The 19,599-nt window shown below is 45.7% G+C and overlaps 1 protein-coding gene across 2 annotated transcripts in view, besides 7 other annotated features; it reads left to right on the top strand.

The window, feature by feature from the left end:
• BCL2 (BCL2 apoptosis regulator) overlaps positions 1 to 19,599 on the top strand; it is a 196,745-nt gene that overhangs the window by 170,143 nt on the left and 7,003 nt on the right. The gene's annotated exons all lie outside the window — the stretch shown is intronic.
• Positions 2,719 to 2,838: an enhancer, noted in NCBI's record as "active region_13450". NCBI's record gives its function as "activates an Ori minimal core promoter by ATAC-STARR-seq in GM12878 lymphoblastoid cells {active_cell/tissue: GM12878}" and the evidence as "EXISTENCE:reporter gene assay evidence [ECO:0000049][PMID:35858748]".
• Positions 3,072 to 3,572: an enhancer, noted in NCBI's record as "H3K4me1 hESC enhancer chr18:60813609-60814109 (GRCh37/hg19 assembly coordinates)". NCBI's record gives its function as "activates a minimal SCP1, AML or CMV promoter by ChIP-STARR-seq in naive H9 embryonic stem cells {active_cell/tissue: H9 hESC(naive)}" and the evidence as "EXISTENCE:reporter gene assay evidence [ECO:0000049][PMID:30033119]".
• Positions 3,573 to 4,073: an enhancer, noted in NCBI's record as "H3K4me1 hESC enhancer chr18:60813108-60813608 (GRCh37/hg19 assembly coordinates)". NCBI's record gives its function as "activates a minimal SCP1, AML or CMV promoter by ChIP-STARR-seq in naive H9 embryonic stem cells {active_cell/tissue: H9 hESC(naive)}" and the evidence as "EXISTENCE:reporter gene assay evidence [ECO:0000049][PMID:30033119]".
• Positions 6,903 to 7,092: an enhancer, noted in NCBI's record as "active region_13449". NCBI's record gives its function as "activates an Ori minimal core promoter by ATAC-STARR-seq in GM12878 lymphoblastoid cells {active_cell/tissue: GM12878}" and the evidence as "EXISTENCE:reporter gene assay evidence [ECO:0000049][PMID:35858748]".
• Positions 7,643 to 7,742: an enhancer, noted in NCBI's record as "active region_13448". NCBI's record gives its function as "activates an Ori minimal core promoter by ATAC-STARR-seq in GM12878 lymphoblastoid cells {active_cell/tissue: GM12878}" and the evidence as "EXISTENCE:reporter gene assay evidence [ECO:0000049][PMID:35858748]".
• Positions 11,289 to 12,155: an enhancer, noted in NCBI's record as "H3K27ac hESC enhancer chr18:60805026-60805892 (GRCh37/hg19 assembly coordinates)". NCBI's record gives its function as "activates a minimal SCP1, AML or CMV promoter by ChIP-STARR-seq in naive H9 embryonic stem cells {active_cell/tissue: H9 hESC(naive)}" and the evidence as "EXISTENCE:reporter gene assay evidence [ECO:0000049][PMID:30033119]".
• Positions 11,298 to 11,347: an enhancer, noted in NCBI's record as "active region_13447". NCBI's record gives its function as "activates an Ori minimal core promoter by ATAC-STARR-seq in GM12878 lymphoblastoid cells {active_cell/tissue: GM12878}" and the evidence as "EXISTENCE:reporter gene assay evidence [ECO:0000049][PMID:35858748]".

The raw sequence follows: 19,599 nt of genomic DNA, 5'->3' as shown, positions 1-19,599 counted from the left end.
AGATCGCACCACTGCACTCCAGCCTGGGTAACTGACAGAGGGAGACGCTGTCTCAAAATAAATAAATAAATAAATAAATAAATAAATAAATAAATAAATAAATGCCTCATGTCAGGAGAACCCTTTCTGTAGAGAGCCATATAATTAAGCACTGTGTTTGTTCCAAACAAAAACTAGAGAAAGGGTTAAAAATCAATATTATTAGTGACATCTCCTCTCTTCTTCACTGTTAATCATCTGCCGGTCACTGTCATAACAGTGTTATTTTTCAGGCCTGAAATGAAAATTGGCGATTACATCAAGCAAAGAGTTTGAAAGGAAGGCTGGGTTACTGCATGATTATTCGGACTCTCCCTGTAAATACGTGAATAGTTCCAGCTTCCCCTCACATGGGTTGAGGGTAACAGAATGACATCTCCCTGGGCTAGAAGAGAAACAGAGACAGAACAAGCGAAAGTCGTCTGGCACCAGCCAACAGTTGCAACTTATACATATAGCCCGGGACCGGTATGGGTCTGTGGCCTGTTAGGAACAGGGCCGCACAGCAGGAGGTGAGCAGCTGGCGAGCATCACTGCCTGAGCTCCGGCTCCTGTCAGATCAGTGGCGACATTAGGTTTTCCTAGGAGTGCAAACCCTATTGTGAACTGTGCCCACAAGGGATCTAGGTTGTGTGCTCCTTATGGGAACCGAATGCCTGATGATCTGTGTTGGAACAGTTTCATCCTGAAATGATCCCCCACCCCATTCGTGGAAAAATTGTCCTCCACAAAACACGTCCCTGGTGCCAAAAAGGTTGTGGACTGCTGACATAAATGAGCTTGATTCTTTTCTCATAATGTAAACGTTATCAAAGAGACAGAGGTGTCAGCATAAGCACGTCGCTGCTCCATGCACACTTATGACTTCGTGGCTCTGGGCAGGCCCGTTTAGCTGGGAGTCATAGCTACATTTAGGGAGGCCGCGTGATTGAGTGGAAAGGCAGGATATTTTATGTCAGAATTCTGGGTTTGAGTTCTGGTTTCATAATTGATTAACTAGGTGTCCTTGGAAAAGTTACGTATTCTTGGTCATCTCTAAAAGAGGGGTGACAGCAGTAATAACTTATCTGTGGCTTGTTGGGAGGACCACACTAGATGATCTATATGGAAGCACTTTCTCAACAACAGCGTGCCATGTGAATATTTGTTTTTGTTTGTAATAGATACCTCTATAATAAGGAGAATGAGAAGGTTATTATTTCATCCTGTTTGTTCACTGTTTTTATTTAACAACTTTTTTTTTTTTTCCTACTACATTCCAGGCAGCAGGCCAGAGGCCAGGGAAATTCGTTGCCACTTCACAGTATCTCATTGCATCATTGAGAGGTTTACTCCTGATCCAGCACCGAAAGACCATTTTTGGCCTTTAAAAATAAAGTTGAAAGTCCAAGAGCCAGAAAGATTAAGGATTAAGCTAATTTTTAAAATAACAAATGTTTTCTTATATTCTTTTCTCATTTATATGGTGCTGGTAATTTTTTAAATTAGATTTTCATCTGGGCATTTTATATTAAAAATGATACAGTTCCCTGTCCCTTGTAATTGCATTTCTTTTGATTTTCTTTTATTATGACTCGCATATCACTGACACTTTTTTCCTGGAATGTTAAAAGTATACATCATCTGGCTAAAAGGAAAAAATACTGACTTAATAAAAATGGAAAAGAGAGAGAGAGAGAAAATGGATATTCTTCTCTTTTGGTTCCAAACAAGGCAAAGTCCTCATTCCTCGTTCTTCATACATGCCAAGGTTGATGTCACGGATCCAAACCAGTTTTGAGTTATCTGAAATGGGGGGGAGCGGGGAAGCGCAGTTCAACAATCTTCTGAAGCTTGAAAAACAAATTTGTCACAGTCTGATAACCCAAAAATGACTGATGGATTTTCTCTGCATTTTCCAAGCAGGGAGGGGTCGGGCATGGAGAATGAAACATTCTGAGAAAAGACTTAAATGTGGAAACTTTTGGTTCAAGAGGGTATTCTAGGAGATACAAGAAATATCTCCTGGGGGCATCCAAAGGGAATAACACTGTAATCTTGAGTGATGTATGGTTCCATTGCCCGAGGAATAGGGATGAAAACCATAAACTCCTTTGGTTGGGGTATTAACTTATCATCAAAAGTTACCATAAATAATGGATATTGTTTATGGCTGAGAAGTAGGACACATCCAGAGAAGACATCCCTTAATTTTTCATAAAATCATCTCAGTGTTATTGGAATATGTTTTTCATGCCATTTGAGCTGTCGGAGTATCTCTTGGGTAGATTCTTAAGCAGAAATAGTTGGGACTTTACAAACCCTGCCTGGGATTCTAATGTCTGGTGCCATGAAGATTTTGGCTTGTGTTTCTTTTGATGTCTAGAATATCAAGAACATTCCTAGCTTCTATATTACGGCAGGTCACGTCCCGGCTTCTTCTAGTAAAATCCCCTCTAGGATTCAAGCCTCTATTTGCACCGGTAATAAATGTGATGGCACATTGCGACTTTGAATGCAAGCCAGCAGGGCTGCAGGCACCTGTTTCTCCCAGTGCCCCAACTGTATCAAACCCTTTTCATCCTCCCTGCTTTTGATGCACAAACATAAAACGGAGTCCCAGAATCTAAAAGTGATGTCACTTGAGTGTCACCAAGGACCTTTAGAGGACCATGGGGCATCTCTTCCTGTTACAAATGAGGCTCTCAAAGCCTGGAAAGGTGAATCCCTGGACCACAAGTGGAGGAACTGAGAAAGGGTGCGTCGACACTCAGACCCCACAGCTTGCCATTGTGTGGCTTGTGATAGAACCAAGACATCAGAACAGACCAGCTTATCCGGTTATAAATCTAGGATAACATGATGAGCTTCAGAGCCAGGGGTTGAGCTCTCCTGGGACTCCTCCCCTCCAAAGGATGTGTTCCATTGCCAAACATTAAAAGCTCCGAATTCTTGTTTTCTCGCCAAAAGGTATTGTAGACATGATGGCAGTGAAATTATTTTTTTCGCATTTAAAGTTACCCTTAATAAAATCACTTTCTTCAGGTGGTGTACCAAGTTAGTAAAACATACCTGTTTGAATCTATATTCCATCAACCATGAACTTATGCCTGGGGATCAAAAATTTCTTAAAACCCACCAGGCGTGATCCTAATACTTTTTTCACAGTTTCTCGGGGTGTTTCAGTAGGTTAGGATTACCTCCAAAGACATTTAAATGATGTTTCTGGTTCAAACGGAAATGAAAAGCACATAAAATTGTAAGACATAAGAATTCCAAGAATTTGGCAGAGGTGAAAACACACAAAGAAAAGATGAAATTTAGACGTTTTTATTCTGCTCCTTTATCCAACACAAATCCCTCTCCAGTTGTCCCATAACCACAATGCCAGCATTTAACTCCTCAAGGGTTAAAGGAGGCTTGTAGAGCGGGCCTCTGGCTGACTCCAGCGTGGATCGCAGGCCTGGCGTCCTGTCAGACTTCCACGGTCAAATGGTAACCACACTGCCTCTAGTTACCTCGCTCCATTTCTTGGGGGGCTCAGGGACAGCCGCCATTTCCCCATCAGTGTCCACGACCAGCGTCCTTCTGCCAGGAGGCGGGCTGGAAGGTCCCTCGCAGCTATGGCCAAGCCCTGGCTGCGGCTGCAGAAGTCTCACTTGTTTCACTCGGCCAACACTTAATTTCTTTATGTATCTGAGGGAGTGGGGAATTAGTGTCTTCCAGGAAATTCAGGCTCTGAGTTTTCTGTCCTAGACTACAACAGGCAAATGGAGAACGGGTTGTGGGGATCGGAGCTGAGGAATGAACTTCAGCTGATAAAATGCAAGACAAGGAGGGAACAGGAAAGCAAAGGACAAAGTGAAGGAGAAAAAAATAAAGGGAATTTTGGCAGGGAAAAGGGATTTGGGAGATAGGACGGGAGTCCTGTCTGGGTTATAGTGAAGGCAGGGGAGAGAGGTTTGGGGGATCTTGGGGACCTGGGCCGTGTCCAGCCATTTTTTGTCTCCCACCAACTCCTCGCTGTTCAGCTACCCCACAGAGCAGGGTCTTGGGCATCCTGTGTGCTGAGGACAGAGCTGAGCTTATAGTCACTGTGCATGAAGGATGCTGTGATTCTGCTTTTTTGTTTGTTCATCTTTAATTTGGTGTATTAGAGATGTTGCACTGAACACATTCCCTCTCAGCATGCAACTGCCAAAATGCTGAAAGAAAGTGTTTGGCTTGTTGGGTCTGACTGCAACAATCACAAACTTGCCTTGCAAACTTCTGGCCTTCCAGTAACACATCGAACATTAAAGGATTAAATGCTTGGTGAGCAGAGCTAGGTTCTTGTAAAACACTTGGCAGGTAGGTTCCTAGGAATTTAAAGGTATCTGCCTTTGTTAAATTATGAAGATTTTTTAAATGTGAGTAGAGAAAAGCTGTTTCCAGTCATGAGGAGTCACGAGGGGTGCCTCCAGGAGGAGAGAGACCATGCAAGAAGCAGGTGACGGGGCAGTGGGGCGAGCGGCCCAGAGAAGCCCCCCCACCCCCTGGATCTCTTGGGCAGTGGGGCGAGTGGCCAGGGAAGCCCCCTGTATCCCCCTGGGTCTCTTCTTTGAGGGCTTATGCTCTGTCCGTGGTGTGGAGCCACTCTTGTTCATGCACGTTGCAGACACAACCACTTTTGGTCCAGCAAGAATAGTTGAGCTGATCACTTGAAAGGATCAAAATCCAGTTGCCACTGTGGAAGCTCTGGGGCCACATATTTTAATATTCTAAATTAGGCCTCAAGTTGGATTTGTTTTTGTGACTCAAGGAAATTTTGTTCTCTTTCACATTCTAGAATTCCCTGTGAAGCAGCCCTGTAAATAGGAGGGCTTTTCCTGAATAATATGGAAAGAATTTCTCTTTGGGGATTTGAGTCTATATCATACAACATTTTAAAATACTCTTGAGATGGCACGTGCAGCCCTAGCAACAGGGCCAGACCACAGTCAAGGGCTTCCAGAGTGTGCCGCACACGTTCCCGTGGGATCCAGCCTTGCACAGTGCCCAGGGCGGCGGGGGCGGGGGTGATGGGGAAGGTCCTGTGACTGGTGGTTTCTCCATGGTCACAGGGTCTTCTTTCTGTTGATGTGGCCCCATTCGCTCTGACTCACCCCTGACGGCATACACCGGCTTGCTTTAGGACCCACCAGGGTGGCCCCAAACTCCCATGCCACTTCCTTGCCCTGAAACACCATCCTTGGTTTTCTTGCTTTTATTTGAAGTCCTGAGGCCTCAGCTCCTGTCTCACTTTCTGTCCGCCTTCCAGCCCATCTTAAACACTCTTGGTACATTTCTTGAGCGTTCCCTGTCACTCCTCGGGACTTCCTGTTTAGCCTCTCATATTTATTGCTCCGGGGGAGCCGGAGTTGGATCTTGTATGTCTTTTCTGCTTCCTTTGGGAGAAGCAAAATATAGTTGAAAAGGTACATGCCTGGCAGTCATATAGTCCTGGATTCGAACCCCGGCTTTGCTGCAATGAGCTGAGTGACTTTGAGCAAGTTGTGTGACCTTTCTGATGGCAGTCTCTTCTGTCTAGAGTTGTTTGTAAAAGCCACCTTAATGGGCTTTGGCACCACAGTTAAATATCTCTTGTCATCCCAGATTTAGTGCCTAGCCAGAAGTAGATGCTAAATAAATACTTTTTAAAGTGGTTTGCCTATGGTTGGATTGCTCGATTCAGATATGTCCAAAAGATAGATCAAAGCTAGAGGAAAGAAAGAGCTAAAACGAGCTATCCAAAGTTAGCGCCAATTATACTATGAAAAACATGTTGCCTGTGGATCCAAGATTGGCCAAGGGGTTTCCTCAGTGGAAATAGCAATTTGCTTGACCTAAAATTTCTCTTGAAGCCTTCACCAGCCCAAACTTGAGCTTATTCCTACGACCTTAGGTGTGCATATCTCTGAGTCATCCCATTGGAAGAGCGTTTACTGAGTACCTGATTTGGGTGATGAGCATGATGTCCTGCCTTAAGGAGCTCATTGTCATGGAGTCAAGCTCACTATCTCCCCTGCAGCACTCTGCACAATGCTGTGTGCAACTCAGGCGGTCAGTAAATGTTTGCATCCCTGAATGCAACCTGAGCCAACTCGCTCCAAGGTTTCTGCAATGGCAGCAAGGTTCTGCCAGTGCTACACATGCATAGGCATGGCCACTGACCACTCAGCTGCCAGTCCCACCTGGAATATTCTGGCTCTGCCATTTTTGCCTGAGGAATAGTCGGTGTATAAAGGCCCCGTAGCACAGTTCAAATTCCATTTGCAATGCAGCCAGCACATACTTGCATCCCTTCTGCAGGCAGGGTCCCCCAGGCTCGCCGCTGCAAGCTGCAAAAGTGTCTGACCGGTCCTGAGCGTTTGACGGGAAGTGACAGTTGCCTTGGAAGTGGATCTCCCAGGGGCACGACTTTTCTCGTGTTAAGTGCCCACTGCTGACAATGCTGACAGGCCTTGTACAGTGGGCACGTGTAGTGTTCTGACCTTGCTCCTGCCCCCAGGAGGCCAGCTTCACTGGCTTCACTGTGAGAGCGTGTCCTTGGGTCAGGTCAGCCAGCTGTCAACTGTGCCCCTGTAGGTTGTGCTGATGGAAGATATTTCAGCCCCTCCACTCACTTAAAACTCATCCATGATTGCTTTCAGCTTCTCTTTTTCTCTTTCTCTTTGTCTTTCTGGGTCTCTGGGTCTCCCGTTTCTCTCTCTGAGTTTCTGTTTTTGCTTCTCTCTCTAGTTCTATATACAGCAGTATCCTTCTTGCAACAGAAAGCATACTGTCAGAGGTCCTTCGCCGTAAACAGCTATTCAGATGAGAGGCCACGCCAGCGTATCTTGTCCATATGTTAATGAGCCAGGATCCAGAACCACAGGCTGACCTGGCCCACCATTTACCTGTCCTGGTACTAACAGCTGCTGCCACTGACAGAGACTGCATTTTCCTTGTGATAGAGAGGTCTGCTGTCTTCCCTGGGCACAGGAAGACTGTCTGATGAGGAAGGAAGAGGATTGTCAAAGAGCCAAGCAGTGTTCCTTGAAATGCATCTGGTTTTATTCATGTTGAGTCTTTCCAGGTGAACTGAACTAAATCATAAACTACAAAATGAAAGCAGATTTTTCTTAGCATGCCCATATGGAGCTCACTGAGGAGTTCACCACCATCCGTCAGCTCCCCTTGTCCCCCAGAGCACAGAGGATGTAATTGTTCTTCTCTTCCTGATCGGTAGATTGATGGTGTGGATAAGAAGCCTCTCCCATGGGCTTCTCAGAGGATCATCGCAGTCACTTTGACGGTCACAGAATGACCCATTGAGCTGCAGAACTGGGGAGCTGGGATCTGAGTAAGACTATTATACGTTGGGGTGCTTTTGAGTGGGATGTAAGCAGGCTGTGAAGTTTCAGCCATTTGTGACTTACCTGCCCCAAACCAAGAACAACAGAACCAGCACCATCCGGGGTGCATCTGGTCCTCGACAGATGTCTGGGCCTGCGGTAGGTCATCAGGGCTCCCTGGAGCTAATGCAGTGTGGAGCTTCCAGAAAAGATGCCCAGGCTGATTTCTTAACCAGTCCCAAAAAGCAAGTGCCAGACAAGGCAGGGCTGGAGGCTGGCAGTGCCCAGCTGGCTGAGGATGCCGCATCCTCCAGCCTAGTCTGCTTTGCTCTTTTTCTTCTACATACCCTCCTCCAGGTCTGAGGCCACTTTCAGCAAATTCCTATTAGGACATGCAGGTTCTTTGTACTCCCCACACCACCAGCCTCAGTCAACACTTACTGATTTAAACAAGTGAAAACCAAACATTTGGCCCCTAACTCTGGCCCTCCACGTTTAATAAATGAAGGACTCCCTCCCCTCACTGCCCCCAGCAGCGATGTCCTGATGACAGCGATTAGGCCAAGCTGCAGAACTTAACAAGCATCTGCTTTCAGTTCCCATTTTTGGCGTATTTTCATGAATTAACTCTTGCAGTGACAAAAATAGAGGGAGGCAGCCTGGGCCATGCCCCGTGTTCACGAGTCACATGGCAGGTACAGGAGCCACGGCACGCTTGGCCCAAATCATGACCGACAAGTAGAGCATATTTGCCTGTCGCCAATCCCTGTGGAGCACACAGTGATTATGTTCTACTCACATACGGAGACAGGTATGGACAGTGGCGTGGGGTGGGGAGGAGAGCCACATGTGTGGCTCCAGATCCCAAGAAAAAAGAGTTGGTGGATCTATTCCAAACGCCAGTCTGCCTGTGGAATCCCCAGCCCCTGTCAGGCAGTGGAGAGTCCTGTTCGGTATTGAATATAATCAGAGCTTCCCACCTGCTCCCTACTTTAAGCCACACTGATGTCACCAGTTCTAATTAAAACTGGCATGAGAGGCAGAGGGCTTTGTGGGCATATGGGGGTTGGGGTCTGGGACAAATAACTTGGATTATGCTCATAAAAGCAAAGAGATTGGAAGCACAGAGGCACATCAGAGGTCACAGCTTCAGTGCTGTGCCAAGAAAGGCCTCCTCCTAACTCACAGCAGGAGGGTCTGAGGCCAGGTGGGGAGAAGAGCAGTGGAGAAGTGGCGGATGGAAGAGATGGACCACACAGAGAGGAAGCAGGAGATCCTCTGCAATAGTTACAGTAACACAGCTCTGGCACGCACCAACAGAACCCAAGTCACATCCTCAAGGATGCACGAGAAAGGGTGAAGAATAAGGTCACTAACTAGGTAAGCCCAGATGGTAGAGCGGAGAGAGACTTCTTAGAGGTTCGCTACGGCGGAGTTTTCAGATGAGGAAAATTGAAGGTCCCAGGGGTGAAGTGAGCTGCTCACCTTACAAGTAGGAGTGCCCCGATTGCTGCTCATGCATCCGACCCCTAACTTCTCATCCAGAACACAAACCATGCCACCTCCTACTACAGTTCTTCCTTTTTTTCTTTTGGAGAATGACAGTGGTGCACATTTTCTAACCAGCAGCGTCTCATTCCTCATTACACTTGTGAGCCGAGGATCCATCACAAGCCAGTACTTCTGTGGAATTCCATATGGTATAAAAATAGTTTAGTCCCTCTTCATGTCGTGTAAGGAACATAATTAAGCTCTTTTATTGGGATATAGTTCACGTGCCATAAAATTCCATTTAAAGTGATCAGCGCATTGGTTTTTAGCATATTCAAAAGGTTATACAGCCATCACCCTTAGCTAATTCCAGAACTTTTCCATCACTCCAAAAAGAAGCCCTGTACCCATTAGCAATGACTCCCTAGTCTCCCCGTCTCCCCATCTCCTGGGAACCTCTAATCCACTTTTTGTCTTGATGGCCTTGCCTATTTTGGACATTGCATGTCAATGGACTCATAGACAGTGGGTGGCCTTTGTGCCTGGATCCTTCACTTGGCCTCATGTTTTTGAGGGTCATCCATGTTGTTGCATGTGTCAATGCTTCGCTCCTTTTTTTGGCTGAGTTGTAAGATTCCATTATGTGGGTAGACCACATTTTGTTTATTTGTTCATCAGTTAGTGGATATTTGGGTCATTTCCACTTTTGGCTATTATGAATAATGCTGATGTGAACATTTGTGTACAAGTTTTCGTGTGAACGTGCAATTTCAATTCCTTTGGGTGTACTAGGAGTTGAATTGCTGGGTCATGTGGTGACTCTGTTTAACTCTTTGAGGAATCAGCAAACTGTTTTCCCACAATGGCTGCACCAGTTTACATTCCCACCAGTCATGTGCAGGGGTTTCAATTTCTCAACATCCTTGCCAACACTTGTTATTATCTATTTTTAAAATTAGAGCCACTCTAGTGGATGTGATCTCTCCTTGTGGTTTCGATTTGCATTTCCCTAATGACTAATGATAGTGAAGCATCTCTTCATGCACTTACTGGCCATTTGTGTACCTTCACTGGTAAAATGTCTACCAGAATCCTTTGGCCTTTTTTAAAATTTAGCTACTTACGTTTTTATTGTTGAGTTATAATAATTAAGTTTTTTGCTGGACATATTTTCATGTCCAACACAATATCATAAAAGTGTTAAGTTTGTCACTTTATGCTTGATACTTCCCCCCGAAACAGTGAAATAGCATAAGCCCAAAACAAGAGAGGGCTGAGCACCACAACAGGCAGGGCCCTCGGAAGCTCTAGCCAAAAGAAGGTAATGGAATGAGGAAGGTAGGAAGAAAAATGAAGAAACTTCGTTTTAAAGCCAAAACACTGGAAAGCAGGTGACTGAGGCCTGTGTGTATATAGGCCCTTTCTTTAGGGCCTCTTCAGGTGTGCCTTAAAATGAGGACAGGAGCATGGGCCTGTTCTCTCCTGGCAAGGCCACTGCTGGGCAAATGGGCCTGCAGACAAGACACAAAGTGCTTTGAATTCAGTACTAAGAAAATTATCAGGCCCATGGAAGCCACTGGGAATATTACCAAGCAGTTACTATAGGGCAGGGCATGTGTCTTATTTAGCTTTAAGCTAAATACTCAGCACCTTACAAAAATAGTTTGGTTACTGAATGAATAAGCCCGCTGAAGATGAGATTTCAAGGTCATATAGATACGGCCTTTAGTCTCTCTTGTTATGGTTTATTACACTAACCTGGTGAACCAAATAGCATAACTATTAACATATTTTTAGCACTTTTTGCTATAAATGCATTTCTCCACCTATTTCAGAAGTACGTCTTTTGAATTACTGGACTGACCACACCTTCTTGCAGGAGGGACATGAGCCCACAGGTGCCCTGCAGTATTTGCATAGCTAGTGCGGCAGTAGGGAACTTGGTTCTGTGCTTCCCTCCAGACACCATCTTCTACCCCAGCCCAGAAGGTAATTAGACTAAGGAATCCTCTGAGGTCCATCTCTGGAATAGCCAGCTCCGGCTGAAGTCTCCATTAGCAGGTGGTTGGGGCCAAGCTTCCTCTGCCCTGGCCCATGGCATAAGCCATCTTTGCACATTATTTTCAAACTGTGAAAATAATGCCAGAGAAAGGAAGCACCCATTTGGGCTTCTCATTTTTCAGCCTCCCCAGCTCCTGAGGGCCCCTGCCTGATTTGCATTCTTAGCTAAATTTGCATAACAGAACACACCAGAACTTCCCTGGACCAACTGTGGTAAGCGGGCAAGTTTTGTTTTTGTTTTGTTTGGGTTTTTCATCTCCTGCCATGTCTCCAGCAGGTTTCTTGTTACATCCAAATGACATGGAGATTAGGTTTCACGAATGTCATTGGCCCATGTTTCAACCAGCCCCTCCCCCTGGACCCAGAGTTCCTCCAAGATCAACCCCCAGGCACTGGAGATGGCTTTGGGGAGCAGCCTTCGCCAGCCTGGAGGAAGGCAAATCCTTGTGCTTCTCACGCTCCCGTGCCTCTTCACCATCTCCGGCCCAGGCAGCTGTGTGTCCTTCAGTTATATGCTCAAGGGTTATTTTTTTCCCTTTCCTTTTCCCCCAAACCCGGAAACAATATTTTGGGAGTAAAGGGAGGGTGCGGGAGGAAGAGTCACAGGGGACAGAAGCAAGCATGCAGCTGCCAAAGCCACACTGCTCTGCAGACGGAACCCTCTAGACTCATTCAGCACAATGTGGCTGTGGAGGAAATCCTGCCGAGCCGATGATAAGGGGGGAAATGGAGTCACTTCCTCACCAGCTGCTTTATTCAGGTAGAAAAAAGTCCTCACTTCCTTGCGTGTGCTCTGCCGGCCACCACTCCCAGCCGCCAGTGCGGCTTGCTCCCCCTCTTGCTCTGAGCCAACTCTGGTGTCAGGAGAATCTTGCTTGGCTTCATGGAGCGCTCTTTCTGCAAGACAAGTGTCTGTCTACCCCACTTCCTCCTTCATGTCCTTTCTCTTTCTCCTGGCGTTCTCTCTCACCTGACGGTTGCATGTCATAGATTCTGTGTGGCCGCAGTAGTCACAGATAGTATTGCCAATGAGTCTCCAGCCCTCTTGGTGGAATCTAGGATCAGGACATACCCAGTGGTCTCTACGTTTGCATAGATGTCTAGAAACAGCCTTTGACCTCTGGTCGTCTCCCCTGCCCTGCACCACAGGCACCAATGCTGCCCCTCTTGCCAATGCCCTGCTATTGTCCTTTCACCCTCTTAGGCAGCACTTGTCAAAGTTTGTCTTCCTAATACTCCAAACATAGCAGCAGTCTCCTTGACAGAGGGGTTAGGGGCCAAATGAGTTTGGAAAATGCTACTCCCTTTCTTGGAGAATCAAGCACCTGTGAGTGGGGGTGATAATATTTACTAACCAATATAGCAGGGACACTGACCAGTCAGATCCCTCTGTGTCCTTGGGAACCGGCTAACCATCAGTCCCTGGGAGGAGGACACTAGAGGCTGCTGCTGAAAGAAAAAAAAAGCACTGAATTTTATCTAAGCCAGTCCTTTATTTGGTCTCTGAATACTCCCCTTTTAAAAAAATATTATCTATTAGGATGTTTGAAAAATCTGCCATATAGTAAAACAAATCAGTTTGTTTCAGCTCCACAAACATTTGCTGAGTTCCTAACGTATGACAGACACATGCTCCAGGGATCCAAAGATAAATAAAACATGGTCCTGCACCTCCAGGTGCTAATAGTTGAATGGGGAAGGCAGACATGTAAACAGATGATCTTCGTATAATACTGTGAACAGGGAACAGCCGAGGATTATTTAGCTCAACCTAGGGATTTGGAGAAAGTTGCTTGCAGAAAATGATTGAGCTGAATCTCTGAATGAACCAAAGTTGACTTAAGAGTGACAAGCTGAGCAGGAGAACTAGGTTGGAGCCAGAGCATTGGGAACCTTAGACTTAAGCATGGAAGCAACAGATTTGATTCTGAATGGATCACTCTGGCTGCAGTACACAGAAGAGATTTACAGGCAAAGCACAAGACTCAGACAGAGGCAGAGAGATCAGACTGGAAATCACAGCAGTGATCCTGGGGAGAGAAGGTAAAGGGAGAGAGAAGTGTTCAGGTGGTAAAATTGGCAGTGCATCTACTGCCCTGTTCTGTCCTGTCCCCTGGCCTTTACCACTTCAGTGCTCACTAACTTCACCTCCAGCTATAAGAGATGTGGCATCTGTATCTATTTCCTTGATTGGTACTTCACCTGTGACATGGCCAGCTAGGAGTGCTGGGGTATTGACATTCCATAGGAGCAACCTTCAACCAATGAATAGCAGGAGTTGGTGTATAAATACCCCAGCTCCCTAGTCCCTCAGTGGGTTAACAAGAGATGCATGGTCTACACCGGCCCTCAGATTTCCCTGGCAGGAGTAAGCTCTGTTTGCCGGTAGCAATAACTTGCTTGATGAGGTAACTCATGCATGAGTCTTTTCCTTTTTTTCTCTCCCTTCCCTGCTCCCCTTAGAGTTCCTAGCATCATCTCCCAAATAAACCACTTGCACTCAAATCTTTGTCTTAGGGTCTGTTTCTAAGGGAGTCTAACCTATGGCCATGGGATTTACTGTTGAATGAATATGGGGCATGAGGAAGAGAAAAACATCTAGGAGACTCTGAGGCTGTAGGTTTACTTGATGCCATAGCCAGGTTGAAGACAGGAAGAGAGGGAGGCTTGATGGAGGGAGTGATGATAGCTTGAGTTTGGGGCAGGTTGATCGAACTCCCTAGGGGATGTCTTAGAAAGCAATTGGAATAAGTATTTGCCAGTTAGGGGAGAAAGTGAGACTGGATATAAAGATGTTAGGAACATTATCATAGGGGTGGTATATAAGACCAAGAGAGTGAAAGAGATTGGTCAAAGAGAGAAAAGAAAATGTCCAGACAGAAGCCTGATGGGCAGCATCGAGAACTTATCAGAATAGGCCAGGGAGGAGGTGCCCCTGAGGGAGACAGAGAGGAAATTCTTCAGGAGGAAGGAGGTAGCCCAAAGGGAGCAGAGTCACGGAAGACCCTCAGTGGTCTTGGTGTCCGGGGCATCAGAGCACCTACTAAGATACAACCTCACACCCAGTGAATTTAGCCACATGGAGGGTATTGGTGGTCTCTGTGGGGGTGGTTTCAGAGGCACAGTATAGGAAGAAGCCAGACTGAATGGGTTCAAATGTGGGTGGGAAGTGAGCCAATGAGTGTGGCTTGGCAGCTTTTCTAGGAGGGCAGAGACAGAGAAGATAATGGTTAGGGTGGAGCACGCATCAGCACAGACATTTTGAGGATACCTGAGGTCAGAAAGGAAGGATGCGATTGAAATTGTAATTGAGAGCAGGGACAATTGACGGAGGAAGGTTCCTGAAGCAATGGGAGATGGTGGAATCAGGGTGAAGTGTGGAGAGGAGCAGGGAAGGACAGGCAGAAATGGACATTTGTGCATGGGCCAGGGTGGAAAGCTGTGGTAATTCTTGCCCAATGATCCCAGTTTTCTCAGAGAAGTAAAAGGCAGTGTTCACTGCCAAAAGGTGAGGAAGATGTGTGAGACAAGTGGTGGCTGTTGGGAACAGTCATCAAAAGGAACAGAAAAGATCTGACAAAGAATAAAGAATTGCTAGGTGGTGTCAGAACTCACTGAGTTTAGAGACCATGAATTTCCAGCAGCACCTGCCTGCAAGGTTGGGTAACTTTCTTCAGCACCACTTGGAAGCCCAGATGAGACTTGTTTTGGGCTGGAGTCCAAGTTGGGGCAGAGAGGAAGGTCGGGATGGGAGGAAGCAAGTTGAGGGAGGCAGGGAGGAGGTTCCCTGGGTAGAGAGAAGAACCAGCTGCTTGCCAGCATTCTAACCAGTGACATGCAGGAGGCAGGTGAAACCCAGCCTTCACGCTCCTGTCCACCACGAATTTCCTTATGAATACACACTGTAAGGAATTTGCTTTACCTGTCAAAGTTTCACTCACCTCACCTATTTAAAAAAAGAGCTAATATCTTTATTAGACATTATTAAACCAATTCAGGGAATCTGAACATACTTTGAGGTTCCTTCCAGCCCAGAGTTTTCTGTTACAGTGATTCTCCCTTTCCTTTTTTCTTCCTAACCCTAAAGTTGTCATGAGAGAAGAGATCCCCAGAGGTCCCCATGGAGACAAAATTATAAACTCATGAAAAATAGAAAATATCAAAGTCATTCGATAGCTGTGTTTGATTTCCCATTGGCATGGTCTGATTTTCTTTTTACTTTCTTCTTACTGCCGATGAGACTCTGCAGTCTGCAGGAACAAAATGGCGGCACCCATTGATTTAGTTTAGTTCAAATGTGCACATAGAGGCATTACCTCTCTCTAGAGTGTAAGCTCTTTGGGGACAGGGTGGCTTTTCTCCCTTAGAATTCCCTTCGATTGTATAACGTCTGCATGCATAGTCAGCTCAAAGACTGTGGAATGTAGCTGAATTTCGAATTTGCTTATAGCCAGCCAAGCCATATTAAATTTCCCCAGTATATAGAGAGCTGAGAACACACACTGAGCTCGGGGCCTGAACCTCTTATTGCAGGCATTGGTCTGAGGGGCAGAGCTCATGAGAGTTCTTCTGGGCCAGGGTCTAAGGAGGCCCTCACTTAACCGGGGGCCTGTTGCATGGTTCTAGGTCATGGCTGCTGCCTGGGAGCCCATGTCTCCCCACTACTAGACATCATCTCCCAGCATTTTTGTCTGTCAAATTATGGAGTCTGGATTTTTTTCAGATTAAGTAAGCACTTAGAATGTAACATTATTCTATGTAGTATATATTGAAATATATTTCATAAATAGTAATATACATGTTTGTATTGAATTAGAAAAGACAGCTAAGGAAAAAAATCAGAATAGCCTCTTAAATGCCATGTCCTCATGCCTACTTCTGCCTTCAACGATAATCACTGTTAACATCTTTGCGTTTTCCTTTATATTATTTTTTTCTGTTTGTAAACGCGCACATGTATATGTTAGGTTTTTACAGAAGTGGAATCGTGTTTTGCTGACCGTTTTGTCCTGCTTTACTCAATATGACCTTAGGAACACAATTTCTTGCCAATAACTATAGGGTATGACTTTTAATGCTGAACAGCACTCCATCATGTGGACGCGCTGTCAGTCATCTATTTTCAGACATTTGTTTCCAGGTTTATGCTATTATACATAATCTGTGCACTTTATTATTTTTCCAAAATAAATAACTGGAAGTGAAATTACTAACAAAAGCTTTTTAAAAGCCTTTTGATATGCATTACCAAATTCAAAAGGTCTCCATGTTTACCTTTACCTGGGCATAAGGGTTATTTTGGGACCCCCGCCCATATCCCCAACCGCATGCCATTCTTTTCAGCACTTAGAATTAACCTTCTCTTCCATTCTTGACAATCTGACCTTTTTTAAAAAAAATTCTCATTTTAGGTTTACGTGAAATTTCTCGAAGTGGACCAGGGGTGGTGGCTCATGCCTGTAATCCCAGCACTTTGGGAGGCCAAGGTGGGAGGATCACTTGAGGCCAGGAGTTTGAATCCAGCCTGGCCAACATGAAACCCTTTCTCTACTAAAAATACAAAAATTAGCCGGGCGTAGTAGAGGGTACCTGTAGTCCCAGTTACACGGGAGGCTGAGGCAGAAGAATTGCTTGAACCTGGGAGCCACTGCACTCCAGCCTGAGTGACAGTGGCTCCATCTCAAAAAAAAAAAAAAAAAAAAATTCTTGAAGGTTCTGAACGGAAAAGGAAAATGTTGGAGGATGGCTGCCTCCCAGGTGGGAGTGCTCCATGGCCCGGAGGGGTGAGGACACCTTTGCTGAGTTTAGGAGTCTTGACCCTGGTCTGTTCCCGTCCACACCTACCTGGCCTGGTTCCAAACCTGCAGCAAGGCTGCGGCTGGGAGTTTAGCCATCCTGTCCCCTTGGGCCAGCCCTGGGTGGAACTCAGATCCTCTGTGGCCTCTGAATTGGAAATTTATGGGGAAGCCACTGTGGACAGAGCCACCAGAGCTGAGGCCCTGCCCATCTCCTCCTCATAGGAGGAGCCGGTGCCAGCCTTTCCGTGTGAACCTGTGATCCGTGAAGTCGGGTAAGCCCTTGCCAGTCCTGACATGAGCAAGGGACACAGAGCTTCCTAAATATATAGACTGGGATTTTGTCCGAATCACATGACGACCCAGGTTTTCTTTTTCCCTCTTTGTTGCTTTTAATACATAAAATGAGCATGTGTTTATTTAAAACAGCTTTCAAACTCAAACAAATAATGACAGACTGTTCAAACAGACTTCGGAAATCGCCCCAATCAGGATGTTTGAAAAATCAGGAAGACTTTCTACGAAAGAAGCTTTCAGGTCATTTTAGTCCCGAAGCCGCAGGGTCTCCTTTGCACTTTGGAATTGTAGAAGGGCAAAGTTTAGAGGCCAGCTCCAACCTCCAGGGGGTTAAATGACTTGCCCTCTAGCCCTACACTCTAATAATGTGTAAAGAAGGACAGATAGGTAGGCATTGTATTATCACTTCCCATCTTTGACCAGAACACGGGATGTATACATTTTAATTCATAATTCCTATAGAAATTACGGACTATCCTCAGATCAGAAAGCTAAGAGAGGAAATTGCTTCTGCAAAACGGCAGGCTCAGCAGAACTTCTTGGGGGAAGGGCAGGTTGAGTAGGTGCGGAGCAGGTCTGCAAGAGGACAGACAAGAGCAAGGTGTTTGTTCTGCCACGAGCTCACTTTCTGTATCCAATTTACAAATGGCTTTGAGTGACCTACGTTAATCTTCACAATAATGAATTTTATGGCTATGGATGAAGTAAATGAGGCTCGGGGCTGGGTTATCTGCTGAAGGTTATAAACTAATAAAATATCAAAGCCAGGGTTCACCCACACTCCTCCTCCAAGTCCCATGCCCTTCTCAGCCCCCTGGGATGGCAACAGCATCTCTATGCTGAGGCTTTGGGCCAAGAGCTGCTAGTTTAGCTCATCTCACTCTAGAAATGACATTGTTCTACGTAATGCATATCAGAAATGGCCTGTTAGGTTCATGAGAAGCACTGTTATTTGTGTGGGGGTGAGGGTGGTGAGAGGGAATTATTCCAGCTCTGAGGAGGTGGGGATATTTGGGACAGCATTTCTTCTGCTCTCCAGCACTGTGTGCCAGACCAACTGGGAGAAAATGCCAGCTGGAGTATGTCCCTGCATCCTCCGGTTTCCCAGGATGGCTTCAGGTCCAGACAGGACAAATGATCAGGGGCTTAGTCTGGTTCAGATTTTGCCACACAAAACTCTGTTGATTACTAAAGGGATTCAGAGCCCGGCCACTGACCTTCTCAATGTCAAGCCAAATTGCAGACAACCTATTGCCAGTGCCCTGACAAATTTGGGGTGTCTTTTGGCTGGGCTATTGGGGGTTTCAGCCTACCCATCCCTCAGAGAGAGAAGCATGGATGGGAGGACTAGTTGACATTTGCAGCCGTGTCTGTGATGTCTTGGGTTGCTCCCTGGAAGAGGCAGAGTTCTGGCTTGTGGAGAAGTCCTGACTCCTTCCTGCCCCACTGATCCCTGCTTATATGGAGAGGGGTGTGCATCTTGGCAGACAATCATGATTGTGCCTTAGCTCTGTGCTAAGAGCACTAAACACACATTTTATGTACGTCTATTGCCTCGCTTTTCTAACACTGAAATTTAGAAATGTTTAACAATAGATATTTAAAAAGAAGAAGAAAGCCCTTGCGCCCTCTCCTGGTAAAAGTTAACCAAGGACCTCCAAAGATGCAGAAGGCCCACTGGGTTAGCAGTCGCTGGTCTGGGCTAGCTGATTGTGCTGATTTGACCAATGCTGTTGACACACAGGATGGGTCATCTGTTCTTCTATGGTCTGTGATTACAGAGCATCTTATAAACCAGAGTTTCTCAGCCTCGGCCCTGTTAGCATTGGGGGGCTGCCCTGTGCATTGTGGGATGTTGAACAGCATCCGCGGCCTCTGCCCACTAGATACCAGTAGCACCCTCACCCCAAATCATGACCACTAAAAATGCTTCCAAACATTGCCAAATGTCCCCTGGGGGACAGGATCACTCTCAGTGTGACCCTCGCCCTAAATTCTTGCCTGCCTTTTGTAAAAGGTGGCATTGGTTGGAGGGCAATCCATGAGAATGTGAGGATGGCTCAAGGCAAGCCCTTCATGATGTCTGGAAGCAATATTGATGACTGGTTAACTGAGGTCACTTCTAGGAGTTTGTTTCAAAAAAGCAACTGAACAAATAGACAAGAATTTATATACAAAAATATATCATGATATTGTTTATAATAGCAAAAGTTTTAAACACTATAAACATGAATTTTTTAAAGTATGGCACATTTTATATATCATGAAAATAATTGTATAAATCTATATTTAATAATGTGGAAAGTTACCCTAACAATGCTTTAAATCCTCATCAAGACTACCTCAGGATTCTCAGAGGCTGTTACATATAGAAGGAGTAATTTCAAACAGATTCATAAGCATTTGGGTAAAGCATTAAGCCAAAGACCAATGATTGTATTCAGAAAGCTTAAGTGAACAAACATTTACTACGCACCTATAGTGCACCACAACCATGCCCAGCATGAGGGAGACAAAGAGAATCCCTGGTCCCACTGCTACAGCCCTTGCCCCAGAGAAAGGGAACCCCTCTGTGCACTGTT

Source organism: Homo sapiens, chromosome 18, assembly GCF_000001405.40.
Source record: "Homo sapiens chromosome 18, GRCh38.p14 Primary Assembly".
Lineage (NCBI taxonomy): Eukaryota > Metazoa > Chordata > Mammalia > Primates > Hominidae > Homo > Homo sapiens.
Note: the sequence above shows the minus strand (reverse complement) of the source record. Positions and strands in the feature narration are given on the sequence as shown.